The following is a 21,081-nucleotide window of genomic DNA, read 5'->3' as shown; positions in this document are numbered from 1 at the left end:
AAATGAACCAAGCCAGCCCATTCTTTCTACAGACCATCTGCAAGCCCTGGTGGGTCTATATAGCATCAAACGGTCAGCTCCACGACCAGAGGGATGTCTGGGTGTCATGTTGATGAAGCTATTGGTGCCAGACCCAGCTGCTCAGCTGCCATTCCATAGCCTGCTATGAGTGGCTCAGGCATCAATGAGGGGTTTGAGCTGGGCTGGGGACCCAGAAATTTAACAAAAACAAATCCCCAAACCTCCCAGGCAAAGAAGGCTGGCCACATAAGAGCAGGCATTTGCTCTTCGCTCGACAGCACCTGCCTCTCACGCTGGTGCTATGGCTGTTCACAGGAAGAACACAAGGCCCCGCCTTTGTGGGAAAGCACCTCTTAAGTGCAGGGATTAAGATGTGTCTCCACCGCTTGAGTTAACACACTAATGAATTGTTACTAATAAATTAACAAACCATTCAGTGTGAGCACCACCCCAGAGCAACAATTATGGCAACTGGAGTGTTAGTCATCCACCCACCCACCCATCCACCCACCCACCCATACACTACCCTTCCATTCACCCACTCACTCATCCATCCATCTATCCATCCACCCACCCATTCACCCATTCATCCATCTATCCATCCATCCCCCCACTCATCCACCCATTAACCCATTCACCCACTTACCACCCATCCACTCATCCACCCACCTACCCACCCATCCACCCATTCATCTATTCATCCATCCATCCATCCATCTTGCTCTCCATCCACCTATCCATCTATTCACCCATTCATCCATCCATCTACCCACCCACCCATCCACCCATTAGCCCATCCACCCATCCACTCACCCAGTCACACATCTATCCACCTACCCACCAACCCATCCATTTATCCACCCACCCACTCACCCACCCACTCATCCATTCATCTACCGAATTCATACATTCATTCAAAATATATTCACTTAACATTTATGTGCCAGGTGCTAGGATAAGCCCTCCAATGCCATCATCCCCCAGCCCCCACCATACACACAATAGCCAGATAGAGCAAGAATACCTATACAGGTTTAAGGGCTGGAGGGTGAGTTCCCAGACAGCCCAAGGTATTTCCACAACCTGCCTTCCCAGAGGCAGGTGAACAAGATGCCATTCAAGACCTAGGTATTTTAGGTTCAAGCTGAGGAGCCAGTCTTTCCAGCCCGGACCAGGTTTCCATCCAGGCTCCATTGCATACCAGCTGTGTGACCTTCAACTTCTCACCATGTGGTTTCAGGGCCTCAGAAGACTGGATCCTGCACCCAGTGCTCAATTCCTGGACATGGTCTTCTAATTCCTACAGGGTGGCACAGCTTCATCCTATTTTACAGAGGAAGAAACAGATGCAAAGGGAATTGCAGGGCCGGGACTAGTGGGAGGCACCCAGGGCTCAAACTATGAGAAGGCATTCACCTGGAGGGGCTATCTGCACCTATGCCCACCCAAGAGTGAGTGCCTATTACATGGTGAGCCCTGGGAACAAGTTCGCCTCCCCCTAGCACCGGCCATGGTGAGTGGCTAAGTGGTAGCATTATGATTTGAAGTCAGGTCTTCTGATAAACCCAGTGCTCATTCTGTGATAGTTCATTTGCTCTCTCATTAATTCACTCAGCAAACGTGCAGCGAGCCCCCACTATGCACAAGGCATGTGCTAGGCTCAGGGGTGCACCAGGCATTTCTGAAGGACAGAGACTTGCTTTCTCTGCCTCAATTTCTTCATCTGTAACATGCAGGTTGTTATAAGGATCTGGTCGACTCTGGGCCGAGCCAGCATGCTCACTCTGGAGGCAGAAATGGTCACCAAGAGGGGCCCAGCCCACCCTGGCCTGTCCCCTGCTTCATCCAGAGCTACCCCTGCCTACCCTTCTTGGCCCAGGAGGCTGCCTGGATGTTTATTTGGTTATTAGATAACCAGGCCTGGGCACCATTTCTTTGATCAGTTACCCCTGATAACAAGCAGAGGAAACAGACCATTTTATAGCAAGATTTTGTGGGGTGATCTTATGATCCCATGGTGTTTTTAACAGGGACAAGGATGAAGAGGTAGGCATTTGGAGGGGAGGGGGAAGGAAAAGAGGCCCTGCTCTGCAATACTTTCCTCCTGATTCCCCCTGGACTTTGATTCTGGGGGAAGGGGTGGTGTGGGAGATAAACGTGGAGCAAGAAGGCTGGGTCCCACTCACAGACATCTGACTCAAGGCCGCTTCCCTCACACCCAGCAAGACCCCCTGAATCCTCCCAAAACCTCACCCGCAGCAGCTCTGACCACCCAGCGAGGGCCCCTGCAGTTAACAGCCCAGGAAAGCCCAGCTACGGAGGCCAAGATGCGATAATGCCCACAGACGTGACTTAACGGCCAACACAGAGCTGAGGCTTCTCCCCAAAACAGCCTTATGATTGCTGCCGTTTCAAAAGCTCTCAAGCGATTACTCGGTAAGAAAGAGGTCAGGAACCAAGCGTATATCACCCTTCCCTGAGCAAAATGCAAGATCTGGATAACATAACTTTTTTCTTTTTTTGATTAAAAATAAATATATGTTTGAAGACAATAAATGAGTTTTAGCTTCGGTTCCTTCTTTTGCTCTTGTTTGATCTGCTTGTGAGTTGAGGACAGCCTTGTTCAAACACTATTTGTCCATTTTCTTTGCTTTTTTCTATTTGTGGGGTAAAATCTGTGTTATCTCAACAGGGTCAGCTCACCTGCATTGCGCTTCTGTTTCCTCACCTGGAAAGTGAGGAACGCTGGACCCGTCAGTCTCCAGTGCCCTTTACAGCTGCCCACACCCTCCCAAGTGTCGCCCCATCACAAGGGTGAGGATGCAGCAGGCGCAGGGCCCACCTGTAACTCTCAGCCTCAACAGCTGGGGTTTAGCTAGGATGTAGAAAAAGCACTTTTTTTTTTTGAGACAAGGTCTTGCTCTGTCACCCAGGCTGGAGTGCAGTGGCACAATCATAGCTCACTGCAGCCTCGACCACCCAGGCTCAAGAGATCCTCCCACGTCAGCCTCCCGAGTAGCCGGGACCACAGGCATGTGCCACTACACCTGGAGGATTTTTGTATTTTTTCTAGAGATGGTGTTTTGCCATGTTGCCCAGGCTGGAGAGAAAAAGTACTTTGGAGTCGTGTTTCCCCCATTATTCACACACCTCTTCGAAAAGAAGCCGTTATTATAAAACAGGCCTTTTCTTTTGGGGTCCTCAGATTTGGAAAGGAGCAGAAAACCCAGTGAGACAGGACGTGTCCTGGAGACACAGCGCGGTGGTTGGAAGCAGGGATCCGGGAGTTCTGCCACCTTCCAGCTGCCTGGCCTCAGGACAGTGGCCCAAACTCTCTGAACTCAGTTGCCCCAGTTTGTAAAATGGCCTGACCGTAATTCCCACTTCTTGTCAATTTGTTCAGGTATAAAGTACATGCATATAAAGTACTCAACCTAACTAGTGCCTGGCCCATGCCACAGTCTCAATAATTATCAGCAAATCCTCTCATTTATAAATAAGCCAGTACAACTATTAATACACAAGCATCATACTTTGTGGAAAAGTTCGTATCTCTAACAGCAGTACAATAAGTTCTGAAAATACTGAATTATGACCCTATGTAGGACATCAATGTAACACCCATTCTCCCCACAAAATGCCACTAATGCGTGAACCCCCATCAGCCGCCTGGGACTTTGAAATACCCACATCCGGAAAGCCCAGAGACTGAAGTCTCAAATGATTATGGCCAGAATAGCATGTAGTTTTAACTTTTTTTTTTTTTTTTTTGAGATGGAGTTTCACTCTTGTCACACAGGCTGGAGTGCAATGGCATGATCTCAGCTCACTGCAACCTCCGCCTCCCAGGTTCAAGTGATTCTCCTGCCTCAGCCTCTGGAGTAGCTAGGATTACTGACGCCCGCCACCACGCCCAGCTAATTTTTGTATTTTTAGTAGAGCCGGGGTTTCACCATGTTGGCCAGGCTGCTCTTAAACTCCTGACCTCAGGTGACCCACCCGTCTGGCTCTCCCAAAGAGCTGGGATTACAGGTGTGTGCCACGGCACCCGGCCTTAGCATGTAGTTTTTAAACTACCCATAATTGTAAATTTTGTACATTGAAAGACCCATAATTGCCACAAATAATCACAATTATGCAAGTATAAATAATCACCCTGCACAACTCTCCTCTTGCCCACAAAGTTATCCCTTTCATGAGAATTTAATATGTGACAATGGCCATTGTCTGCCAGGGAAAGCTCATACCGATTTCAGTTTCAGCAAGGCCACCTCGAGTCTCATAGAAACCAGAAAAAAAAAATGTCATTTTCAGGAAGCAAATTGATCGTTTTCCTCACATTTCCATTTGCGTTAAGATCATGGTGTGGCCTTGCTCTGGACTTTTTCCTATTCCCTGTTGCCTCTGGAGAGGAGGAAAGCTAAGGATGGCTGGTGGGCCCACATCGGGGGTCCCTGGGTGGATTGAAGGGCTCTTGTGGCTCCTGGAAGCCTCGCCCAAGTTTCTGGTAAGAAATCAAAAGGTGAGGTGGTGTCCCCTGTTCCCCTGTGGGATGATCAGCCCACAAAAGTGGGACAAATGAGTCTATAAAATGCTTCAGAGGGGCAGGTGGACTGCTCACTCGTGAGTCCCGGGAAACAGGCCTGGCCCAGTTCTCCAAACCTTTCCCCAGGGAGACCGCATCTCTGTCTTCTCTCTTCTTCTCTCTTCTCTCTTGTTCTCTCTTCTCTCTCTTCTCTCTTCTCTCTCCCCCTCCCTCCTCCTTCCTGGTTCTCTTTTTTCTGTTGATTTCACTCCCTCCTTTCTTTTCCCTTTCTCTTTCCTCCCCTTTCTCTCTCTTTCTCTGCCTGTTTCCCCTTTCCTCACTTTCATTTCTCTTTCTGTCTCTTTCTTTCTCTCCCTCTCTCAGGTCTCTCTTCTCTGTCTCTCTTCATCCTCAGTTTTCCCCTCTCTCCCCTCTTACTTTCTTTCCCTTTTTCCTTTTTCTTTCCATCTTCTTCCTCTCCCTCTCTGGGTTCGTGGCAACACAAGGAAACCCGCACATCCCCAGCCCGCAGCCTCGCCCCCTCGGTCCCACTGCAGTTACCCGGTGATCCATGCAGGTGGGAACAATCCAGTTAACTTTTCCCATCCGAGTGATTCTCTTTCTCTTCTTCATTCATAAATGCCATAACTCTCCCGGTCCTCCTTTCCAAGGCTCGTGCACTTGATTTCAAGGCTTGCCTGCCACCCAGGGTGCCACCAGAGTCCCAGTGCCTGGGTTGGGGGCTGGAGCGCACCCTTTGGGATCCCCCAGCCTGTCCTCCGCCTCACGGCTGCCTCGCTTCTGAGCTGCCACCCTCAGCTGACTCACTCAGATGAGATTTGGGAGGGAGGGGGGCAGGAGGAGGAGTTGCGAGAAGGAGGAAAACCCGCCTGGTCGGGTCCACACTTTGCCTAGATGCGTTTGGGTGTGGTGGGGAGCGGGTGACGGCCTCATTTACAGACAGAGGCCGGGGCTGGCTTCTAGGCGACCGGGTTGGCCACTTTCACTGCGCTTCTGGGTTTGCTGGGATCCAAGTTGACGCGACTTTTCCAGGAGTAGCTGGAAGACCTGAATAGAAACTTCAGGGGTCCCAGGACTGGCGGGGCTTAGAGGAACTCCCCGCCCCGCTTGCCCTTCCAGGGAACGGCCTGGCTAGGGGTGCGCTTTGACGCAAGGAGCGCATCGCTCTGCCTTGGCCGGGACCAGAGCTTGGGGGAGGCCTCCTTGCCCACTGCGAAGACTTTGGGGAAGGCGACGGCCAGGGGACGGACATCTGGGGGAGGGCTGGGGGTCTGAATGGCAGGAGCTGCACCAGGGGGCTGTGCGCGCTGCGCGGGTGTGCGCGCCTCGCCGGGGGCTGTCTCCACCTCTTCTGGCAAGTTGGACCTATGAGTGCGCAGCTCCGCTTACAACTATCAACAGCCGGGAAGGCTGAGCGCGTGTGAGCGCCGAGGGGGGCGCAGGACCCTCGCAACTTCTTCGCAGGACTCCAGCCTGGCCGCCGGCGCCCGCAGCCGTCCGAGAGCCCTGCGCCCGCGCCTCCCCTTGCGCACCGTGGCAGCGCCCGGCGGGCGGTCCTGCCAGCCCCGACGGGATGCCCGCAGCCATGCTCCCCTACGCTTGCGTCCTGGTGCTTTTGGGAGGTAGGTGCCACCCTCCCCCACCCGGCAAACTGGCTGAGCTCGGAAGGGAGGGAGCTCGCCGTCTAATGTCCCCTAAGGGCCCTTGGGGACTACGGCCCTGGGTCGGCCCACGCGGCTGCTATGCTGCGCCCTGCGCGCCTTTCTCCAGTCTCACCTGGCCGGCACCTGCGCGCCTCCAGGAGCTTCCTGGGGCCTGCGGGAGGGAGTCGCGTCACCTCGCAATATGAGAGCCGCTGCACTCTCTGCGCCAGTCGGGGCCTGGCCTGTAGGTACCCAGAGCTGCCCTTTGTGCCGGGCCCAGTGGGACCGGGGCCTCCAAGAAGATGCAGGAGGATCCCAGGCCCACTGAGACCCCCATGGTGCGGGACAAGCCCGGCTATTCAGACCAAGGTTACTGGGGTTGTTTTTGCCCACGGAATCCTGACCTGTGCGGGGTCGGGGCTTCTTCCTGCAGCAGGACTCGGGGAGAAGCTAGGGAGCGCGCAGTGACCCCAGGCTCGAGTTGTGCCCAGCAGGCCTGACAAAGGGGACCAAGGGGCTTCAGGAACCCCTGGTAGAGTAGTCAATGCCTTCTCCAGGACTAAGGGGTTCCCTGGTGGCTCTTCGTGGGGGTGGGGAGTAGGGTAGACAAAACTGTACAAAGGCCAGCTGACTGGAGTGTGCCATCACAGGGGCCCAGTCACCACTGACAAAAATGACAGTAACCACAGTTGAAGTGTGCCCAGCTGGGGGCTCATCCCCAAGCACCCTCACATTATGAATGGCTGAGAATTCTGGCCCTGGAGTTAGACCACCTGGCTGGGAAGCCCAGATCAACATCATATCAACCCGTCTGGCTTTGGGTAAGCATGGCCATCGGCTCTCTCAGCCTTGACTTTCTTTCCTGTCAAATGGGCTCACAAAATCCCCTCCTCCGTCTGGGATGATTGTGAAGATTACGAGAGCACGTGCAGGAGGATCACTCCACTTGCTGCCTGGCACTGAGCTCATGTTCAGGGAATGGCAGCCGAGAACCCCGGGGTGAAGAGGGGCTGCGCGGTCCCACAGAGCACGCTCTGCTCCATGTATAGGCAAGGAGCAAAGTCTAAGTCACCTCGAGGAGCTCTTCAATCACAGTCTTTTCTTCCCAGCCCCCAAATTTCTAAACAAGCTGTTTTGAGAAGAACTGGCAGGGGTCTGAAGGAGGGTCAGGGGAGGGTGCCTCCGCAGTTTGAAGAGTTGCAGATTCACCTGTCGAAAGGGACATTCATCCAGGGGCCGCTTCCCCTGCCAGTCTGGGAGCGAGAGGTGACACAGCTGTCCTTGGCCACAGAGTTAGTTGATCATCAGCATGAAAATAGACCACCTCACCCCTGCTGGTTCTTTCGAAAGGGCAGGAAAATGCAAACTGGAAAGGGTGACAAGGGGGCCAGCTGTGGAAGCGCGCCTCTGCTGGGTGCTGAGATAGGGAGGACAGGATGGGGAAACCGGGTGTCCATCTGCTCTCATCCGCCTCCTCCAGGCCGTTGCACCCAGTGGGAATGGAACAGTCTAGAGTGGTGGGACACATGCCCCAGGAACCTGCAGTCTCAGTCACAGCACATGGCTGTTGTCTTTGGCAGGCCGGAGCTTCCCGTCATGCCAATGAAATCACTGTGAGTGTAGAGCCGTGGCTGGCTCTTGGGGAGTCTTGCTGCCCAGCTCCTCGGTGACCTTTCACCACAGCAAATCAGACAGATTCAACAGCAGAGAAGCCAAGAGTGCCCGGGGGCCTGACGAGAGAGGGGGGCAGCCTGCCCTCAATTCAGACACAGCCACCAGAAAGGGGGAGGGTGCCGTTCAGCCTGCCACTGCAGCTCCCAGCTCTACACCGGGCACTATTTTCCACTGAACGCTTCTTTGAAAAGCTCTTTTCACCGCTGGCTACATCACCAGGTGATGAGATCCTTTTGCTTTAGTAAAAGGAAACAGGACCCAGTTAATCCTTCAGCTACTGACATAATTTAGGTGCCTGAGCTGGGCACGCCTGAACTTCATGTCTCCAGGTTCCAGAAACTATATATATAATGGCACACCAGCCACCCCACCAAGAGAATTCAGATTGAGTACACACACGTTAGGGGTTCTTAACCTCGCCGCTATTGACATTTGGCACCAGAGGATTCTTTGTTGGGGATGAGGGGCCCGTCCTGTGCATTTTGGGGTGCTTAGCAGTATCCCTGCCCTCTTCCTACAGATGCCAGTTGCACCTCCTCCTAGTTATGATAACTGAAAATGTCTCCAGATATGACCACATGTCTCCAGGTGATAAAGTGGCCCCCAGTTGAGAATCACTGGTATGAACAGATCAAACCCAACAGGTAGTTTTTCAGACGAATCCGTCAAAATCACTGGGTTAGACGGATTTTGTTATTCTTGCTCTGAACGATCAGGAAATCAAAGGCACAGTGGGGCCCCAAGAAAAACAACATAGCTTAGGTAGTTTCTAATTTGGACGTTGATTTTTCCCATTTGCTCTCCCTCCCTCTTGTATCTGAACATGTCCGCATGGCGGCCGCAGGAGCCAGGCTGCGGTATGGGTAGTCACCCACTGCAGCGAACCTTCCTTCAAACCCTGTCAGGCCAGATGTGTCTGGTGCCAGTTCTCCAGCTGCCAGTGTTGGTTCACTCCACAGCAATTTCTGGCTTTTAAAAATCTCATTACTCAACAATTTATGCTGGAGGGGGAAAATGAGAAACCATAGCTGCTGCTTTTTTTTCGAACTTGTATTTTTTTTTTCTAATTTCAGCTCTGCTTTTATCTCTCGCTATATACTTTGCGATGGCAAGTTATCATTTACAGTCAGATTAACTAGGTCAAAATCACAAGCTATTCCATAATAAATTAGTTGATGTGGAGCTCTGCCTTGAAACCCAGAATAAAAACTAAGAAGAAAATTACTTAAATACACTCATCCAAAAATCTAATGTGAATAGAGACCCGTAATCGTATTAGTTACTTAAAACAAACAAAAAAAATTATCAATGGAGACTTCCTCTTGCTACTGTGTGAAGTGCTTCTCGAAGATGAATCACTGTGGCCAGCTGTGCCACTTATCTTCTGACCAAGGCTGTAATCTCAAAATTCAAAACAACCAGCTCCAGGCAAATACAGCAGCTTCCTTGATTTCAAAACCATCTGGATGGCAAAGCAGTTAGAAGCTACACGTGAAGAAATATTTTTGCAATATATTGGAAGTTAACTATGCTAATGAAAGCTTAAAGCCAGAATGAGCCCCTGATAAAACTTCCAAAATACAGTGGTTCACTGCCAAAACCAGCCTGGAAAATGAAGATCAATAGCCCAATGCAAAGGGAAGGAGAAGCCATTAAAATTGGTTTGAGCTTGAGGGCAGCTAAGTTGAGTTGGGGGGCTCTTGAGAAGGAAGTGAATTCTGAAGTTGGCACGGAAGGTGGTTTTGGAATTAGGCAGACCTGGTTCCCACCCTGGCTTTGTTACCTTCCTGTTCTGTCACCTGGACCCACACAGCCTCCCTGGGCATGTGGCCCAATCAGTGTGTTGGGAATGGTGATAGCTGTGACATCAGAGAGTGCTGGAAGTGTTCAACAAGATGGTATATGGCCAGGACTTAGCACTGAGAACCTGGTGAACCCTCTGTGCTGTCCCTGCAGGGAGTCAGATGCTGCTCTAAAGTCTCCAGACCTGGGGAAGAAAGTGTCAGCGCCCCTGCTCTCAGGAAGTTGCCATTTCAGCTTGAGCTTGGACACGTCACTTAGCATCTGTCTCCTTTTGGCAGGTGCTGTATTTTCTTCCCCATGAGAGCACCTTGACTATTAAAATGATACCAACAGCAACAAAATTCATAATTCTTTGGGTTTAACCCTGACACCATGCAGGTCCAGGCTCCACCCTTCTTGCTGCTGTCTCCTGTCATTCTGCCCCAGCCCTGCTGCCAGTGCTACCATCATCAATTTCCTTATCTGCAGAATGGGGATGATGACAGAGCTCACTGCTGGAGTAGGGTGAGCTTGCTAAAAGGAAGAATTGGGCCGGGCATGGTGGCTCACGCCTTTAATCCCAGCACTTTGGGAGGCCGAAGTGGGCAGATCACCTAAGGTCAGGAGTTCAAGACCAGCCTGACCAACATGGTGAAACCCTGTCTCCACTAAAAATAAAAAATTAGCTGGGTGTGGTGTCAGGCACCTGGAATCCCAGCTACTTGGGAGGCTGAGGCAGGAGAATTGCTTGAACCCGGGAGGCGGAGGTTGCAGTGGGCCAAGATTGCACCAATGCACTCCAGCCTGGGCAACAGGGCGAGACAAAAAAAAGAGGAAGAATTGTCTAGCAGAGAGGCAGTGACAGAGTCCCAATTCAGTGGACGTGTATTGTGTGCCCTCCTGTGTATGTGCCACACACTGGTGTGAGGTGCGGAAGACAGAAGGACCAATCAGATAGCTCCCCACCTTCATGGAAAATAGGGCAACTAAATCTTAAATGAGCAACTAATTACAAGACTGATGAGCACTTTACCAAGCAGTTTTAGGGGTATCTAGCCCAGGCTGGGAGGTTCAAGAAGGCCTCCCTAGAAAGGTGATATGTAACCTGGAACTTGAAAAACTGAATGAGGAGGAGGCAGAACAGACAGAATTCCCGGCAGAAGGACTAGTATGTGCAAAGCTTAGATGCAAAAGAAAAGAGAGTGAGGGACCAAGGGGTGGAGAGTGGACAAGGTCAGGGGTTGGCAGGGGCTGGTTCCTGGAGGGTTGTGGGGCCTCAGAAAAGAGTTGGACTTTATATTAAGAGCAATGGAGTGTTCACTGAAGGATGTAAAGCAGGGTAAGAATGAGATGCCTCTAGAAGTAGTGAATTCCCGATCACTGGAGGCATCCAAGAATCTAGCTGGATGATGCGAGTAGCACTGGCTAGGAGTTGGCCCAGATTTGCTTCCAGCCCTGAAAGTCTCTAACCGTAAGCCAGCACATGTGCTATCAATGGCTGTTTTGGTCCCTCACTTCTCCCTGCCCCCATTCAGAGCCTGGTAATAATGACAGTGACAGTGATGGGCTATACTTACTGAGCCTTCTCTGTGTCCACCAGGGCCCAGGCTCAGCTCCTGACTTACAGCAGCATTTGAGGTGAGTTGTTAGTCCCGTCTTACAACACTCTTGGAAGGTGGAGGTTTTCACTCCCGTTTGACAGATGAAGAAACTGAGGCCCAGAGAAGTAGGTGACTTGCCCAAGGAGAGCTAGGCAGGGGTATAGCTAAGACTCATTTGCAAACTGGAAACTTGGACAGGCAAAGCTAAAGGTACCGTCTGTGCCCATTGATATCATAGTGTCGTCTTCAGTTTCATCATCAGGGAAACGAGAAGGATTTTAGTACCCCTGAGTAAAGCCCAATCCAAAGGCCCTGACGTGGCTCACAGCACCCGGCCCGCCCTGGTCCTGCCTGCTTCCTCACTCAGCACCAACTACCTGGGCAGCTCCTGGCTTGGCCTCCACATAGGCAGCACGACTCCCTCAGGGCCTTCACGCCCTCTTCCCTCTGCCTGGAACATTCTTCTGGCTCCTTCTTCCACTCAGGTATCTACTCAGATGTTACCTTCTCTGAGAGGCCTTCCCAGAAGGCTAAAGGAAGGCTAAAATTGACTCGTTGACTCCACACACACACACACACACACACACGCATGCACATGCACACACACGTGCGCACACAGACACACATGCACACTCACACACACTCACGCACACTCATGCACACTCACGCATGTGCACACAGTCTTTCCCAGTACCCCGCTCTGCCTTTCTGCACGGCACCCCTCACTCTCCATACACCGTGGCCTATCATTACCTGTTTCCCTGTTTACAGTCTGTTCCTCACTACAAAGTAGGCTGCACAAGAAGAAGGCCTGGCCTGTTTTATCGACAGTTCTTTCCCGGGTCCCTAGAACAGTGCCTGGCACATAGTAGGTACTCAGTAATCGCTCATATACCCAACATAGTGTAAGCAGTGGCAGACGGGAACCCCAGTCACAGCTGCACTGAAGGGCCCTGCCGCAGAGGCCCTCCTCAGCTCCTCCAGGGCCTCCCCAGCCACCTCCCCTCCGCCAGTCCTCTGCTCCATTGTCCTCATCTCTTCCCCCCACCACCAATGCCAACATCTAATCGAGGATGTCAACCACTTCAGGGGGCATTTTGAGATTTAAAAGCCTTGTATGCTGTCAAGATGTAAAGCACATCAGCTGGAGTCTCTCTTGATTTATGGACACAGTCTCAGCCATGTTCACTCTCTCTGTGCTCTCCCCTCCCTGTGCTCCTTGATCCCCATGTGACAGTCATCTCCACACACTTCACAGATAACCTCTCTTTCTTCTTAGGGAGGATAGTGGCTGCTGGGCTGGAAGCACCACCATGAAGCAGTCACTCAGAGCCCACCAGCCTGTCCATCAGCTGCATTCCTTCCCACCACAACCTCCATATGCATGCATAGGCTGTTTCTTCTGCCTAGAACTCTGTTCCCTGCTGCCAGCCTCCCCTTCACCTGCAAATTTTAGTGGAAATACCTAGCAGTGGAATTGCCGTGGCAAAGTGTGTTTGCTAAATTCTCCCACCAGCTTTTTTTCCAAATGAGTTGTACCAGCACCACCCCCATGGGTGACCTAGGAGAGCACTCATTTCTTACATCTTCACTAACCCTTGTATTATTACTTCTTAAAAATCATGCCAGTGGCAATGCTTGGTGGTTTTGATTTGGATTCCTATAATTATGAGCAAGGAGAAGCAAATGTTTGTGTGTTATAGACCTCTCATATTGCTTTTCCAATGAACTGCCTGGTCACATGTTTGTGCTGTCATCATATGGGAGATTCAAACCATTTTTCTTATTGATTTGTAAGTGCTCTTTATATTCAGAAAACTAGCTGTCTCTTGTATGTGTTGCAATTTTTTTTCAGCTTGCTGTTTTTTCACCCAAGCTTCCTGAAACAGAAGTTGCTGTTTCTCTTCTCTTTCATGTTCACTCCATTGAAACCTGTGCAAGGGTGCATGGGCTATTAGCAAGTGTATATATTCCCCAGAGGGGAGAACAGATGGTCAGATATTCCTACCATAAATTACCACTGTGTGTGTGTCGGGGTGTGTGTGTGGGGGTGTGGGTGGGTGTGCGTATGTGGCAGAGGGAGAAGGAGAGGAAGGGAAAGAGTCAGGGAGAGGGAGAAAGACCAACTTACCTCAGAGAAAAAAGACAGCTAGAACACTGTGCTAGCACATTACTTCATTTCATCCTCACAACCTCTCTATGCCATGGACATTGTATTACCTCATTTTCACCCTGCTGATAAAGGCATGCCCGAGACTGGGCTATTTTCAAAAGAAAGAGGTTTAATGGACTTACAGTTTCACATGGCTGGGAAGTCATCACAATCATGGTGGAAAGTAAGGAGGAGCAAGTCACATCTTACAAGGATGGCAGCAGGCAAAGAGAGAGAACTTGTGCAGGGAAACTCCTTTTATTAAAAACTATCAGATCTCGTGAGACTTATTCACTATCTCAAGAACAGCACAGGAAAGACCTGCCCCCGTGATTCAATTACCTCCCACCAGGCTCTTCCCATGACACCTGGGAATTGTGGGAGTTACAATTCAAGATGAGATTTGAGTGGGGACACAGCCAAACCATATCAGATACCAGGCACTCAAGTCATCCAGCCAGCAAGCCCAGCAACCCAGATTTGTGGACCACCAAGCTTCTTGCCTCAACTGCCACCCTCCAGTGAAAGTTCAGCTCCAAGTTCATGCAAATACCTCCCTGCCCTGATGCCTTTGAAAGCACCATGAATTAAAGCAAAATCTGGGCACCAGGAGACACACACACTCTGAGGCATCTGAGCTGACTGTTTATATAACATGGCTTAATGGGGAAGATTGCAGTAGAAGACCACAGACATGCTAACAAGAACAGCTTTTTAAAACCCCAATTAAATGTTAATCTGAGAGTTGTTGAAGAGAGAAGGATCCTAATTGTTCATCTGCAAAGACTGCAGAATGGGCTGGGCTCCGGAATTCAATTGCCCAGGCTCACATTCCAGCTGCTCCATTGACTGCCCCACCACTTAATCCCTCCATGCCTCAGTTTCCTCCTTTGCAAAATGATGTTTAACCCATGGGGCTGCTTGAGTAGATAAGAGTGTCCATGTGGGAAGTTCACTGCACAGCAGACACAGAGCAAGTCCTCCGTAGATGTCACTCATACCATTTGCAAAGGTGACAGGACACTGCCCTACAGATTCCAGCCTTTGGACCTGCTACATTGCTTCTTCTGGGTGGCTACAAGGCCACCTTCTCCTTCTGGGATATCAGGAGCTTGGCTGGAGAGAAAGAGACAGAAATGGTGTCTGGATGGGTCAGAGGAAGATGGGGGTATACAGAAGGGTAAAGAGGTGAGAAGCCCAAATTCCTGCTTCCAGAGGTGCAAGGGGACTCAGGTTGCTTTTGCCTGGGGATGTATCCAAAGGGCCCACTCTGGTGGCTAGGACGGTACTAGGTGTTTCTGGGAAGTGGGGATTTGGGGAGTTTGTGTTTGTTTCCTGGGGCTGTCATAACAAAGTACTATGAAGTGGGGGGCTTGGAACAACAGACATCCAAAATCAAGGTATCAGTGGGGCCATGCTCCCTCTGAAGCCTGTAGAAGGGAATCTTCTTTGCCTCTTCCAGCTTCTGGTATTTGCCAGCAGTCCTTGGCATTCCCTGGCTTTAAACCCATCACTTCAGTTCCTACCTCCATTGCCATGTGGACCTCTTCTCCCTGTGTGTCTCTATCACTGTGTCTCATCTCCTTTTCTAATAAGTACACCAGTCATATTGGATTTAGGGCTCACCCTGCTCCAGTAGGACCTCATTTTAATTAGTTACACCTGCAGTGACCTTATTTCCAAATAAGGTCACAATCTGAGGTACTAGAGTTAGGACTTCAGCATATATTTTGCAGTGTTGCAATTCTGTCCAAAATGCCTAGTGTTGTATCCAAAGGGCCCACTCTGGTGGGTGGGATGGCACCAGGTGTTTCTGGGAAATGGAATTTGAGAAGTAACATGATCATCCAACAGTTGAAAGGTGAGTAGCACAGGGCCAAACCATATCCAGGGTTCCAGAGAGGGAAGGGAGGTCAGGAGGCCAAAATTTAAATACCCAACAACAGGCAATGACTTAAATACATCTTGAAGGAATTATGCATACATAAAAAATTATATATCCAAAAAAAATGGACTGACATGGGAGGATATTTATGACATAATGTTAGAACAAGAAACACAATGAGCCAGGCACAGTGGCCCATGCCTGTAATCCCAGCACTTTGGGAGGCCAAAGTGGGAGAATCACTTGAGTTCAGAAGTTCAAGATGAGCCTGGGCAACAAAGGGAAACCCTGTCTCCACAAAAAATAAAAATAATAATAATTTGTAAAAAACTTAAAAAGAAACACAATATAGTATATTTGATTCTAATTATGTTTTCATGGAGGAGGCATCCTTTTTTTAAATAAAAAAAAGAAAACATATGAAATGAGCAGTTATCTCTGGGAGGGGGAATTATGAGAAAATTCTTTCTTTGTCTCTATGTTTTTCTCTGTATTTTCTATAGGATCAGTTCCATCTGAGGCTGGGGGTTCAAGGAAAAGAGCTGGGTTTACAGCTTCACAGTTTTGTAACCTCCTGAATTTGCTAGGACTTCAGCAAGAGAGGCTGGTTAGAAATGTAACAGAGGTTGAGGTTGGAGAAGTGAAACCTGACCTGGCTGCAGGACTTGGTCCTGGTGTCAGAAGTGGGATCACCTACAGAACTGGGGGTCCTGGGTAGTCCAGATGCTCTTAGGCAGATCGATGTTCCTGGGAATGGATTTGGGGAACATCGGGGCCCCAAACATCTAGATGTTTAGATAAGGCCCTGTGCCCTCCCTGCTGTGAGGAGAGGTGCTTGCCAAAGGTGCCCTCAGTCTTGTGGATGGGGCTTCAGAACAGGGAACTGGAACCCCACTAGGGTGACTGAGGCTACACTGTAGCTGTGGGTGGATCAATGTCAGCAATACCTAACGTCCATTGGGCACTTGCCATTATGAAACACTGTAGGAGCATTATATTATTTCTACACAACTGTCTTGTGGTTTAGGTACTGCTATTTATCACCACTTGACACCTGAAGAAATAGACGCTACTGGGCTAGGATGCTTCTGAAGAAGCAGAAGCCTGGGAAGACTGCCACCTGATGGCCTCATGGCTGCTTAGGAACCATCCAGAATGCGTGAAAGGGCAGACCCAATAAGCCCAGAACTCACTGCTCCCTGGGGGCCCTGAGGTGCTAACAGTCTGTTCACATGGTTGTCTCAGAGGCAAGAAGACCTCTTGCTCATCACAGAGAAGAGCCAGGGAAGATTGGATCCTTTACCAAAGCCAGGGAGATGCATTGGGCTACTTGTTGATACCATTAGCCATGGAGCCTTTGCCCTGAGCAATCTGCTGTCTCCTCTCCCCCATCTCAAGTCCTTCTCTGCTAGAAACAAAACTGCAGTGGACAGGTACCAGTTTTGCCTGCCTGGGCTCCATTCCTCCTTCTTTTGCTATAGCAGAATTTCATTGACTCCAGTCCTAGAGGACTTGTCAGTCAAGGTGCTTCATCTCCACCTGAGGTGTGAGTCTCCAGATGGGCTCATGGGATGCTTGCTCCAGGACTTTGAACTTTAAGGGCAGTGACCAGAAGCTAAGCACATTCTGCCCACGGAGTGTCCTGGAGAAAGTGCAGAGTGGTTCCCACCAACTGCACTCCCAGAGCATCCCTTGGATCCATGCCCATCCAAGAAGTCCCTTTTTAGCTTACATGAGTCAGATGTTGCTTCTGTTGCTTACAACCAAAGCAGCTAACCTATATGCCTACAAAGTTTGAGACCATGCCCTCTGAACAGTTAGCTAAATAGTATATGTGCTGTACACCCCTGTTTTTCACTACCCCTAGAGCTCAGTGTGCGTTAAAAACAAAATCTGAGCTGCCTTCCCCAAGCCTCAATATTAAATCATATAGAAAGAGGGAGGAAAAGCAATAGCTCATACCCAACTCTACTCTTTTCCAAAAGTATATGTAGATACAGGAGAGCACGACATGGCTGTATTTAGCCTGGAATTACCAGTGGCCATAGTGAAACAAAATTACTTGTTCTTTGAAATGTACACTTAGAGTTGCTTTAACATGTGTTTTTCATGGTTGGGTGTGGTTTCTAGATAGTTTGAAGCTGAAGTCTACTGTTTGGCCCATCAGCTTTAACCAAATTCTGATGGACTCCAATTTCCTTAACAGCAAACCACAGACTGAAATTAAGACCAACTTGCCAGTGAGTGAAAGTACCTGGGCTTTTATGATGATCAGCATTTGGATTTGTTGTTTCTCCCACAGTCTTGCAATACTTTTGCATTTCCGTCTGCCTCTCGCAGGAAATCACTTCAAGGTAACCATCAAAATCTCTGAGAAGATCATAACCTACATGATTGCGTGGCTAGCTGCATTTTGCTAGGAAACCCCACCCCCAACCTTTCAGGGACTGTAAATGCTGCCTTAGGGAAATTCAGAGACGTGCATTTCTGCCTCTGATGGTGGTTAGGGGAAGCCTGACTTCCGGAAAAGTCGGAATTCCGGTCCCATAAAAAGAGTCACGTCCACTGCCACCCAGGACATTCATTATTGTTGCTGACGGGGACCTAAGGAAGAGAGGTTGGGCCCCTGAGTCTCTAGAGCCCTGTAAGAGCTTCAACAAGAACGTGGAATAATTTGTAATTTGCATATTTATTGCTAAAGAGCTTCTAAGAGTGTTTGCGACCAGAGCTGCTGGACTTCATTATTAAGTGGGCGAAACATATTCCCTGTTTACATAGATAATTTGCTTAGAAAGTTCTTTTCTTTTTTTTTTTTTTGTTCTGCTTAAATACAAAGACAAACTTCTTTCTCTCTCTACTTCAAATTCTAATTTAGGAGAGCTTAAATGAGTAAGCATGTCTTTACTATGTTTGTAGATAACGTCCTATAACTTCAACTCAGTGGTGAGAATGTCTCTTCATTCAAGTATTCAGTTCTTCAACAAGCATTCAGTGGGTGCTGACTACGTGCCTGGCACTGTTCTACACCCCAGGGTTATAACAGGGAACAAAATGAGCCTGGCATGGACCTTATGGGACTTGCAATCTAGTTGGTGGTATGGGGCAGAGGTAGGACATACAGATTAGAAAACAAATACACCAAAGGCCAGATGCGGTGTCTCACGCCTGTAATCCCAACACTTTGGGAGGCCGAGGCGGGTGGATCACTTGAGGTCAGGAGTTCAAGACCAGCCTGGCCAACATGGTGAAACCTCCTTTCTACTAAAAATACAAAAATTAGCCTGGCATGGTGGTGGGCACCTGTAATCCTAGCTACTTGGGAGGCTGAGGCAGGAGAATCACTCAAACCCTGGAGACAGGTTCCAGTGAGCCGAGATCGCACCAGGGTACTCCATCCTGGGTGACAGAGTGAGACTCTGACTCAAAACAAAACAAAACAAAAAAACACAAGACAATGGCAGATGGTGACAAGCACTGTGAGAGGAGAGGAGAAAGGGAGTGGGGAGAGTGACCAGGGAGGTGGGCTATTAGATGGGGCATATCTGGAAGGCTTCTCCAAGTAGGCCACATTGCAGCCCAGTCCTAAGAGATGAAAAGGAGCCAGCGCTAGAAGATCCAGGATGAGAGGAACCAACTGAAGGAAAGTCAGGATGGCTGCTAGAGAGTAAAGGGACAAGAGGACAGGATGAGCAGGCCATGAAGAGGGTCACAGCCAAGCTTAAGGGCTTTGGAAAGCCAGAGGCAGGTTTTCGGGCTCAAAAAGGCTCTCTGGTTGCTGAGTGGAAATGCATCCATGGAAAGTGGTGACAGTGGCTTGGTTATATCTGTAGGGTTAGAGAGAGGTGAGACCCTTCCCCTGTGCGTGTGGAGGTGGAACTGTCAGGACTTGGAGATGAACTGGATGGGAGGTCTGTATTTGCTTTCTATGGCTGCCATAACAAAGAACACAGACTGTCTGGCTTCACACAAATCGGAAATTCTTTCTTGCCCAGCTCTGGAGGCTGGAAGTCAGAGATCAAGGTGTCTGCAGGGTTGGTTTCTGCAGAGCCTGCCCTCCCTGGCTTGTAGGTGGCCGTCTTCTAGCTGTGCCCTCTACGGCCATTATTCTGTGGGTACACATCAGTGGTGTCTCTCCGTGTGTCCAAATTTCCTCTTCTTACAGGGACACCAGTCAGACTGGATTAGGGCCCACTCTAATGGCCTCATTTTGACTTAATCACCTCCTTAAAAGCCCTGTCTCCAAATACAGTCATGCTCTGAGGTACAGGGGGTTACAGCTTTAACATAAGAATTTGGGGAGAATACAGTTCAGCCACCAACAGAGGCTCTTACAAACAAGAAAAGAAATATATTTAAAGGTAGACACTGTAGACTATCTGGTCCATCATAATCATTCAAGGGAATGACTTGTCCAAACTTCAGGACTAAAGTTACCCCTGGGGATGGGACAGAAGGTTTCAATAAGACTGGTAGTATTCCAGATCTTAGCCTCAAGGAGGGGTTCCCAGGGGTTCATCTTTAAAGTGGGCATGTCACATGTCACACTGTGGGGTACCTGGCAGAGTGCTAACCCTCAGGGAGCCTGGGTAGCAGTGGCCAGGATTGATGGCTTCACCCAAAGCTGGGGTGCATCTGGAGGAGTGGGAGGGCTGGGGGAAGTGGACAGCTTGGAGAGCCCACAAAAGGCAAAACTCCCTGGACTGGGCAACTGGCTAGTGGGGAGTGCAGCGAAGGGTTTTCCTGGTAGACGGTGGCTTCCTTAGCCAGGATGAATGTCCGGGGGTAGTCAAAGGTGTGGCCTGGAGGAAGGATGGGATGTCCTCAGAGCGTGGGTGGCTGTGGTGAGGGTGTGAGCCGAAAGGAAAGCCATTGGGTGGACAGGGAGAGACAAGGAGCCTTGGTGTCCCCTCCTGTAAAGAGAGGGCATGACACTTCCCTATCTCAAAACACTAAAACACTGCCAAAAGGATTAAATGAGAGAATATGGCAAGTAGCTTGTGAAGCTTCATTCTCAAGCATTTCCAAGGACCTGCTATGGGCCAGGTGCAGGACTGGGGCTGGGGATGGAGAGGTGAACACAAACAGAGCCATCAGGATGCCCTTGGCCCAGAGCGGGGCCGGATATGACCCCCGGGATCCCACTGGTGACGTTCATGCTTGGGGTGGGAGGGTAGCAAATGCCAGAAGACTCAGCATGCCCCTCATTAGATGCTGACTGAATCCGTTGTGATGCGTCCACAGATGGGAACATCTTACAGCCAGAAAGAGAACGTAGTAGAAAGATGACTTTGTGTCAATGGGAAACTGTCTCTACAAATTAAGTGAAAAAATCAAAACAGAGTGCTTTAAATTCACATATGCATTTTCCCCCAGAAAAAATGCTGAAAAATCTGATAATAATTTTTGCTTTGGGAGGGAGGGACTAGGGTAGAAGGAGAAAGAAGCTTCACCTTATGCCGTTCAGTGTAGAGCACTTTGGAATTTGTTTTTGTTTTTCTAGGCTCCAGCTCTATTTGAAAACTAAAATATTTACATGTGTTTTTTTAAAAAAACAATCTTGGTGTGAGATGGAAGTGCCCAGTCTGTAGTAGGCACACATACAAAATATCTGTTGAAAGAGTAAATGAACAAAGGGAGGCCAGGGACGGTGAGAGACAGTGGAGCAGGTTTGCATACTTATGAGAGAAAAAAAAGAGGTTGAAGACTCAAGAGAGACAGAGAGGGAGATGGGGCTAGGGAGGGAAGCTGGAGAGAGGAGAGACAGGGATGGGTGGGGT

General features: G+C 49.6%; 1 protein-coding gene and 1 long non-coding RNA gene across 4 annotated transcripts in view, besides 1 other annotated feature; one reads left to right on the top strand and one right to left on the bottom strand.

The window, feature by feature from the left end:
- The window catches only part of APCDD1L-DT (APCDD1L divergent transcript), a 104,514-nt gene extending 99,045 nt beyond the window's left edge, over positions 1–5,469 (bottom strand). Inside the window, exons 1-2 of the long non-coding RNA NR_034147.1 lie at positions 5,108–5,469; positions 1,249–1,344 (exon numbers count right to left, since the gene is read on the bottom strand). This is a non-coding gene — a long non-coding RNA (APCDD1L divergent transcript). The remainder of the gene's footprint in view (positions 1–1,248; positions 1,345–5,107) is intronic.
- APCDD1L (APC down-regulated 1 like) overlaps positions 5,449–21,081 on the top strand; it is a 56,299-nt gene continuing 40,666 nt past the window's right edge. For 2 of the 3 annotated variants that reach the window (NR_130908.2, NM_153360.3), the window contains exon 1: positions 5,449–6,189. Coding sequence is in view for 2 of the 3 variants with exons in the window: in NM_153360.3 (NP_699191.1) it covers positions 6,141–6,189 (49 nt within the window). In the remaining variant the exon portion in view is untranslated. Of the gene's footprint in view, positions 6,190–6,860; positions 7,032–21,081 lie in introns of all 3 variants that reach the window. The other variant, NM_001304787.2, reaches the window with a different exon arrangement.
- Positions 5,848–6,846: an enhancer, noted in NCBI's record as "H3K4me1 hESC enhancer chr20:57089058-57090056 (GRCh37/hg19 assembly coordinates)". NCBI's record gives its function as "activates a minimal SCP1, AML or CMV promoter by ChIP-STARR-seq in naive H9 embryonic stem cells {active_cell/tissue: H9 hESC(naive)}" and the evidence as "EXISTENCE:reporter gene assay evidence [ECO:0000049][PMID:30033119]".

This window comes from Homo sapiens, chromosome 20 (genome assembly GCF_000001405.40).
Source record: "Homo sapiens chromosome 20, GRCh38.p14 Primary Assembly".
NCBI lineage: Eukaryota > Metazoa > Chordata > Mammalia > Primates > Hominidae > Homo > Homo sapiens.
The sequence above is the reverse complement of the archived record's forward strand: the minus strand, read 5'-3'. Positions and strand labels throughout refer to the sequence as shown.